The following is an 8,629-nucleotide window of genomic DNA, read 5'->3' on the forward strand; positions in this document are numbered from 1 at the left end:
AGTCCCATCTACTGGGAAGGCTGAGGCAGGAGAATGGTGTGAACTCGGGAGGCGGAGCCTGGGTGACAGAGCGAGACTCCGTCTAAAAAAAAAAAAAAAAAGATTTGCTTGCTCCTTAGTTAATTGGGGTGCATTTAAATCCTGGCTAATGGAAAGGTTCAAGCCAGGATTCGTTCAATATTGGCTTTTCTGTGGGCACCAAATTAAAACAGCCCTCTATGACCCTGCCCTGCACAAACACCCCCTGGGGCTGGGAACATAGTCCCTTTCTCACCTGAGGCCTTCCCAAGGGGCATGGCTGCTGCACAGGGCTGTGTATGAGGCTGCTCAGGCAGGACTGGGTCCACTCACTGCTGCTGTGGCTTAAAGATTACCCCACAGGAGCTCAGATGGGACCAGCCATGGAACAGATTGACACTAGTTATTGTGACAGAAAGGAATTAAGGGTTATCGATTGGATCCTGCCTACGCAGTTCCACAGATACACAAAGAACCTAGGGAAATGGCCTTCCCGGGTTGTGTCATGCGACTTGGCCCCAGGCAGCTCTGGAGTGTCACTGTTGTGTTGCTGTCCCCCAGGAGCTGAACAACCGCCTGGCTGCAGAGATCACACGGTTGCGGACGCTGCTGACTGGGGACGGCGGTGGGGAGGCCACTGGGTCACCCCTTGCACAGGGCAAGGATGCCTATGAACTAGAGGTACCATCAGGAGCCAGGCCCTGCCTGACTCAGCTCTGCACCCAGGAACCCCAGGGGAGTGCAGCATGGCCCCTGTCTTACAGGGTTGTGGGAGGAACAGACCTGAGACAGCAGGAGTCACAGGGTCCAGGAAGATCCAAATCACCCGAAGGCGGCGAGGAGCAGTGAGCTGCCAGGTGGCATGAGAGCCACTAGCCGAGTGGAGCCCTCGAGGGGCTGTGGGGATCCTGACCCCATCTCACTCCACCCACTCCCCTCCATTTCTGCTATGCCACAAACACTGACCACTCAAAAGGACACGTTCTGTAGCCATGTGGCTGCTGCAGCTCAGGTCAGGGAGGCTCGCTTTATGTTAGAATGATGGATTCTGGAGTATAGGGTGTCCTTTTAGGAAGGCACTTAGATTTCTCCACATTCAATTAAAATTTCACCCTAAAATGTGCTAAAATTTCAGCACTCAGCCAGCCAGAGCTCACCCAGCTGGGCTGGTTCTGGTGGCTTTGAGCTTTGTCTCTGTCGTGGAGCCGCCTCCTGGCAGTGACACTGAGAGGCCAAGGCTGGGAGGGACCAGTGCTTGGTGTGATCAGCTCCTGCCCCGAGTCCAGGTGTTGGGCCGCTGTCTGCTGTGCCTGTGCCTTGTACTAAATGAGTGCTTTACCAAAAGGGCGGGCAAGAGAGGCTGAGTGAGTCTGACACAAGTGTCAGTGGTAACATTTCCTGATTCTCGCGGGCTTGGTCCCCAGAGACAAGCAGGTCTAGTTCACAGCACCCCAGGCTGAGGAGGGAGTCCTTGGCACTGGGAGGAATCACGGCCATTTCCTTCCTCTTCCTGTTTCTGTATGTGAGGCTGAAGCTGTGAGCGGTGTTTAAACGATGCTTGCCCGCATTGGGCACCACGAGGCTGCCCTGCTCACTGGTGATTGGAGAGCCCTCTGCACGCTTCAGCCTGCTGTGGAGACTCTGGAGGTTTCTTTGCTCCTGAATATTGGTCCCTGATCTCTCTGTCATTTTAGGTCTTATTGCGGGTAAAGGAATCGGAAATACAGTACCTGAAACAGGAGATTAGCTCCCTCAAGGATGAGCTGCAGACGGCACTGCGGGTAAGGCCACCGCACCACAGGAGGGCGGGTACGGGAACAGGCTCTAGGTGACATGCGCCTCCTGAACTCAGGCTGGTGCTCAGCGCGGGCTCTTCTGAAGCAGATTTTACTCTTGTGAGGAAGGAGGTTTCCAAAATCAAGCCCTCTTAAAAGACCAGCCTGCAGGCAGGTGCTGTGGGAACGTGGACATGAGCAACCTGCCTGGCCTGGCTCCAGCTTCAGTGTGTATGTGCTTTTTGTGTGCCTTGGGAGGAATGTTCCAGAGAAAAGGCCTGTGAAGTGAGGCAAGGCTTGACTTCCATTTGAGCCGCCCCCTGGCTTCCACCAGCCTCCTCCAGGGACTCCTGGAGTCAGGGGAGATGACAGAATCATTGGTGGTCACTCAGTCACCTAGGGAATCTAGGACACAGAGAGGATTTCCAGGCTGAAGCCCACAAGGGAGGGGCCTGGGCACTCAGGGCCACACCAGGCTGGTCGGGCAATCCCGGAACTGCCTCCTGCACTCACCGGGCCTGGAGATTATCCTGCCATGTCCTGATGGCTGTGCCCGTGTCCTTAGGCCCCGTGGTTTTTCCTCTCTGTCCACTGTCTGCCTCTAGAAGACAGAGGTGAACAAGCCTCCTCTTCCGCCCACAGCAAGCCTCCCTACCGTGTTCAGTCCCCAGGAAGACAGGCCATGTTGTATGTGCTCCTCTTTCCTGGATGTAACTACCATTCTCTGTCATTTCACTCCCAAGGACAAGAAGTACGCAAGTGACAAGTACAAAGACATCTACACAGAGCTCAGCATCGCGAAGGCTAAGGCTGACTGTGACATCAGCAGGTTGAAGGAGCAGCTCAAGGCTGCAACGGAAGCACTGGGGGAGAAGTCCCCTGACAGTGCCACGGTGTCCGGATATGGTGCGTCCTCGGGTCATGCCCTCTCGGTTATTGCTGGGGGGCTTATGGGGGTTTGGTCGTAGAGGTTTCCCGGTGCTTGACTTGAAGCAGAAGAGTCCCAGTGATGCTTGTAGACCCAGGCATCCCAGTGGAGCAGGAGCACCAGCTTCACACGGCTGCCCCAGACAGGCCTTGCTCTCCCCATCGCAGCAGTGGATGCTGTGCTGATTGCTCTAGGGAGAACCCATAGTATCAGCATAATATTTTCGAAATAATAACAAGTCTTATTTTTCTAAAGAACTCAACCACTGGGCAGAAGTAGCTCTCACTAGCTGCTTGATCCTAGGATTTGACTATAATATCTGTAAAAGGCCATAGAGTGGAGAATGGGAGGGAGCTCCCTGCTTTCTGGAATGAACAACAGAACTGGCCCTTTTTTTCTTGGCTAAAAACATTTAGGTACCCTGTAAAAAATAGATGGCAGGAAGGATGAAAGAGTTAACATTTTATCAAGCATTTTCAGCTCATACGTAATTTTTTTTTTTTTTTTTTTGAAACTGGGTCTTGCTCTGTTGCCCAGGGTGGAATGCAATGGCGTGATTTCACTGCAGCCTCCGCCTCCCAGGCTCAAGGATTCTCCCACCTTAGCCTCCCCAGTAGCTGGGACTACAGGAGTGCACCACAAAACACCTGGCTAATTTTTGTATTTTTAGTAGAGACAGAGTTTCACCACGTTGCTCAGACTGATCTCAAACTCCTGGGCTCAAGCGATCCAGCCACCTTGGCCTCCCAAAGTGCTGAGATTACAGGTGTGAGCCACTGCACCTGGCCAGATTATACATAATTTCATTTGACCTTCATCTTGATTTTTTATACAGAGACGCACAAACAGGAAAAGATGTGCTAGCTCACTAATATCAAAAAAGAAAAAATCAACTTTTTTTCTGTCAGGCAAGGAATAGTGATTATGTACTGACAGATGCTGGGAGGAAGACTTCATTTTTCCATAAATACCTTGAGTAGTCAGGCTTGGTGGTAGGCCTGGCTACCCAGGAGGCTGAGGTGGGAGGATCACTTGAGCCCAGGAGTTCTAGGCAGTCACACACAAAGCTAAGTCGATCAGGTGTCCACACTAAGTTTGGCATCAATATGGTGACCTCCTGCGAGTAGGGGATCACCAGGTTGCCTAAGGAGGGGTGAACTGGCTCAGGTCAAAATGAAAGAGGTCAAAACTCCTGTGCTGGCCAGGTGCAGTGGCTCACACCTGTAATCCCAGCACTTTGGGAAGCTAGGTGGGCAGATCACTTGATCTCAAAAGTTCAAGACCAGCCTGGGCAACATGGCAAAACCCTGTCTCTACAAAAAATACAAAAAAACTAGCTGGGACTGCTGGCATGCACCTGTAGTCCCAGCGCTACTTGGGAGGCTGAGGTGGGAGGATCACTTAAGCCCAGCAGGTGGAAATGGCAGTGAGCCATGATTACACTGCTGCACTCCAGCCTGGGTGACAGAATGAGACCCTGCCTCAAAAAAAAAAGAAAAAAAAAACCTGTGCTGACCTGTGGTGGAATCACACCTGTGAATAGGCACTGCATTCTAGTCTGGGCAACACAGCAAGAATCTGTCTCTTAAAAGAAACAGAGGGCGGGCGTGGTGGCACCCGCCTGTAATCCCAGCACTTTGGGAGGTTGAGGCGGGTGGATCACGAGGTCAGGAATTCGAGACCAGTCTGGCCAACATTGTGAAACCCCGTCTCTACTAAAAATACAAAAATTAGCTGGACATGGTGGCACATGCCTGTAATCCCAGCACTTTGGGAGGTTGAGGCGGGTGGATCACGAGGTCAGGAGTTCGAGACCAGTCTGGCCAACATTGTGAAACCCCGTCTCTACTAAAAATACAAAAATTAGCTGGACATGGTGGCACGCACCTGTAGTCCCAGCTACTCGGGAGGCTGAGGCAGGAGAATCGCTTGAACCCAGGAGGCAGAGGTTGCAGTGAGCTGCTGAGTTTGTGCCACTGCACTCCAGCCTGGCGACAGAGCAAGACTCCATCTCAAAAAAAAAAAAAAAAAGCAAAACAAAAAACCCCACACATGCACAGGATGTGTGATATGACTCAGTATCTGTTTGTGTTACAGGTACTTAAGTAGACATTTCTAAGAAGCCTAAAGGACTGCTATCTGGGTGGGTGGACAATGAGAAGGCCTTGGCCTTATCATCTTGCTTTAGACAGCCCTGTGCTACCAGGAGGAAGGTAGAGAATCATGGATAATGGGGGTAGGGGTCTGCTCAGCATTGAGGTCCCACACCAGAGTGAGGGGACCAAGTCCCTTTGAAGGGAATGCTGTTGTGGGCTACAGTCACAGTGCAGGAAGCCCTGGCGGGGCCCCACATACACATTCTCCCATTGTGCTGGTGTTTTATGGTGGTCTGAAGAGATCTAGCATGTTTTATGGTTATTGGCTTTGAATTCCCTTAGAGTTGTTTAAGGAATTGTCCTAAGTATGCTGCAGTAGGAAGCTTGGGAAATGTTTCAGGATTTAGTCTGGTTCCAGAGGGTTTTAGAAAGCAAAGGTAACAGGTCTGTTTGTTTTCATTATATACCGCAGATATAATGAAATCTAAAAGCAACCCTGACTTCTTGAAGAAAGACAGATCCTGTGTCACCCGGCAACTCAGAAACATCAGGTCCAAGGTGAGTCTGGGGTCCAGCCCCCTGGTGGGAGGGGCTTGAGGGACACTGGGGAGAGTAGCCCAAATTGAAGTATGAGTGCTCCCATGGGCCACAGCTGCCAAAGCCCCAGGGCCCAGCACTGAGCCAGCCCGAGCTCACCCTGCTGGGCTGGTTCTGGTGGCTTTGAGCTCTGTGTCTGTCTTGGAGCCACCTCCTGGCAATGACACTGACAGGCCAGGGCTGTGAAGAGCAGTGCTTGGCATGATCAGCTCCTGCCTCGAGGCCAGGTTTCACCCAGCCCTGCTCATGTCGGCCTGCTGTCAGCTGTGCCTGTGTTGTTCCTTGCACATCACTGTTGTGACACTGGTGCCGCCTCCAAGAGATGATGCTGCCTGCTCTTGTTCCCCAGCCAGGAAGCAGTACATCTTTAGTGTGCTGTCCAGAGCCAGCCATGCACAGGAGGGCGGGCGGAGGTGGGAGCGGCACCGCGTGTGTTTGGGATTGGTTGTGTGTCTCATGTCTGCTCTCTCCTCTGACAGTCCGTAATTGAGCAGGTCTCGTGGGATACCTGAAATGCACCCGCTTCCCGGCCCATGCAGGAGGTAAACCGCCTCTCCCACCGCCTGCATGCACTGCTCACACCCCCATGGCAAACGCCTGTGTCATGGTTACTTTATTTCAATTCATCCTGCTCCAACAAACACATACCAAATCCAAGTGAGGTTTCTTTAACCTGCTCTGGGGAGTTAATTGGCACTCTAACCTCTTAACAGAGATGACCCTGGCAGTGAGGTGCTCCTCTAGCCTGGTGGGCAGGCAGAGAGCCAGGCACCCATCAGCATGCATGTTGGATAATCTGTGCACAACGGCTGAACTCACTCCACCCCCTCAGGGGACACTTGTCTTGCCCTCTGTCACGAGGTGGAATTTACAGATGTCCACACTGGCAAGTGAAGTCTACCGTCACCAAAGGCCTCGCCCACCTAGTGAGCCACTTAGTGGCCTCTGTCTGTCAAGGCTAACAGGGTGGTCATTCTAGGAATGGATAAACCAGGACTAGAGCTTGGTGAAGATGGTTCAGAAGAGCGTGATAACTACAAGCAATAGGGGCGAAATATTTACCAGTATTTTTTTTTTTAATAAAACAAAAGCTTCTCACTAGGTGCCATTGAAGGCCCTATGCCAGAGAGGAGGTGGGGGAGGGCCCATGGTGGGAGACACCCTGAGAATGAGTAGTTGCCGGCTCAGTAGCTTGATCTCGTTCATCCCGGAATGAGAACATGGAGGAAAGCAAGAACCACGTCTTCCTCCCCATGCTGGCCCTTTCTCAGGCACACCCACAGCACCCCGCCGTCCGAAGGACTTCATCCTGAGGCTTGGTTAAAGAGTTGAAGGTTTTAAGCCTAGTCAGTTTGGTTTTATTTTTCTACAGTTCTAAGTCCCCTATACCCAAATATGGTTTAGGCTTGATTGAAAACTTAGCTTGGGCATTTTTCTTTAAACATAACGTTTTGTTTAGCAAAAGGAAACTTGTTCTTTTTTGGTTCACGGTTTTCTTACTGAAGATTCTACTACTTATTTGAGGCTAAACTGTAGCTAGTATCTTTGAGCTTTTCTTGAAGGAGTTTGAAGTTCACTATTAGTGATTTGGGCTTTTGGACCATGTCTATAAGTGACATGGGACCGGCTGTCACTGACAGGACCCTTCCAGGGAGGCTGTGCAACACCCACGGGCCCCTGACAGTAACTCTGTGCAGTGAGTGGGTGGGGGCCTCTCACAGTGGCTGGGAACCAGCCAGAGCAGGGATGAGGGAGCAGACTGTCTGGGCCCCAGGGCAGACTGAAAAGGATGGAGAGAAACCCCAGGATGGGGTCCTCCTCCTTATGTGTTTTTAAGTTGATGTTTGGCTTGGCTGGGTTTCCGTAATAAAAATCCTTGGAGTGCAGGGCTAGTCCTGCTGGCCCCAGCAGAAAGTCGAGGACTTCCTAGATGTCTGTGGTGCAACAGGGCAGGATGGGGCCGTGTTCGCGCTCCCAGGAGACATTAGGAGGCACAGGCATGGGTGGGTGTCATCCTTTTCCTCAACTGTATCTGAAGACTCCACCCAACCCTTCAAGAAGATGGAAATGCAGTTGCCCAGAAACCGTACTTCTCAGTGGTGTTTTTTGATGTGGCATCTGATGTGCACTGATCTGTGTCTTTTGTTCTGTTCTGTTTTTCTGTCCTGCCTCGCTCGAAAGGACCGCAAGTCTCAGCTGCTACAAAATCAAAGACAGCAAGTTGCTTAGGAGCAGCACAGCCTTTTCTGGGATTGAGACCAGAGAATGCTTCCCTCGGGGTTCTTAAGGGGCCCCCGTGTCTGTGGTCAGCTCAGTATGTGGGGCTACAGGAGGCACTCAGTGGAGACAACAGCCTAGGGGGAGATGAACCCCAGAGGGAGCTGGCTGAGCCTTGGGCTGAGCAGCCACCGGGAGAGAATCCAGAGGACGTAGAGAGAGAAACAGCCTCCTGCAGCCAGTGTGGGAATAACGTAGGGGATTTCACTTACTTCCCACCCTTGGAATTGTAGCAAGCCCAGCATCACCTGAGCCTGAGCTCTGCCCTTTGTCACTGGGGCAGGAGCCAGTAGCGAGCATGCTGGGTGCTGTGGCTGTCAGGGCGCTCCCCTCCCCTGGGCCTGCTGTAGCAGGAATCTGGGGCTTCTGACGCAGTGCCTGCAAGGAGCAAACCCAGGCCTTAGGAGTGATCAAACTCACTACAGTCCTGACAGAAAGTCCCCAACAAGCAGGAACCGGGATGTCAGTGACATCCCCCAGCCATGCTCCGGGGCCTGCCTCTGAGTAGCACTTAGGCTCAGGGCTGCCTGCCTGGCTTGGCCCCAGCCCCTTCAATGGTGACCAGATGTCTACCCAGGTCCTCTGCAAGACTGACTGCTGTGAGAACCCTGCACTCTGTGGGGAGGGACCCCCCAAGGGCACCTGGAAGCAGGCATGGGTGTTGAGGTACATCTGGGCTCAGAATGGGAGATGGATTTTCCCCCCATTCCCCCAGCCACTCTCTGTGGCAGGCTTCCAAAGAAACCCTCTCAGAAACACACAATTATCAAGCTGTGACAACTGCTTGAGGTGAGGCTCACCTGGACCAGTGAGGTTGTTTGTTTGTTTTGAGACGGAGTCTCGCTCTGTCGCCCAGGCTAGAGTGCAGTGGCGCGATCTCTGCTCACTGCAAGCTCCGCCTCCCGGGTTCACGCCATTCTCCTGCCTCAGCCTCCCAT

The 8,629-nt window shown here is 52.5% G+C and overlaps 1 protein-coding gene and 1 pseudogene across 12 annotated transcripts in view, besides 1 other annotated feature; both read left to right on the forward strand.

Annotated features, from left to right (window-relative positions):
- MPRIP (myosin phosphatase Rho interacting protein) overlaps positions 1–8,629 on the forward strand; it is a 150,187-nt gene that overhangs the window by 132,257 nt on the left and 9,301 nt on the right. For 7 of the 12 annotated variants that reach the window (NM_001364716.4, XM_011523766.3, XM_011523763.3 and 4 more), the window contains 4 exons: positions 580–699; positions 1,713–1,799; positions 2,537–2,699; positions 5,290–5,375. In NM_001364716.4, the coding sequence (NP_001351645.2) occupies positions 580–699; positions 1,713–1,799; positions 2,537–2,699; positions 5,290–5,375 (456 nt within the window). Of the gene's footprint in view, positions 1–579; positions 700–1,712; positions 1,800–2,536; positions 2,700–5,289; positions 5,376–5,893; positions 5,957–8,629 lie in introns of all 12 variants that reach the window. The other 5 variants (XM_011523764.3, XM_047435685.1, XM_047435683.1 and 2 more) reach the window with 2 other exon arrangements.
- Positions 1,207–1,256: an enhancer, noted in NCBI's record as "active region_11790". NCBI's record gives its function as "activates an Ori minimal core promoter by ATAC-STARR-seq in GM12878 lymphoblastoid cells {active_cell/tissue: GM12878}" and the evidence as "EXISTENCE:reporter gene assay evidence [ECO:0000049][PMID:35858748]".
- RN7SL775P (RNA, 7SL, cytoplasmic 775, pseudogene) lies at positions 3,701–4,036 on the forward strand (annotated as a pseudogene).

Source organism: Homo sapiens, chromosome 17 (assembly GCF_000001405.40).
Source record: "Homo sapiens chromosome 17, GRCh38.p14 Primary Assembly".
NCBI classification, from domain to species: domain Eukaryota; kingdom Metazoa; phylum Chordata; class Mammalia; order Primates; family Hominidae; genus Homo; species Homo sapiens.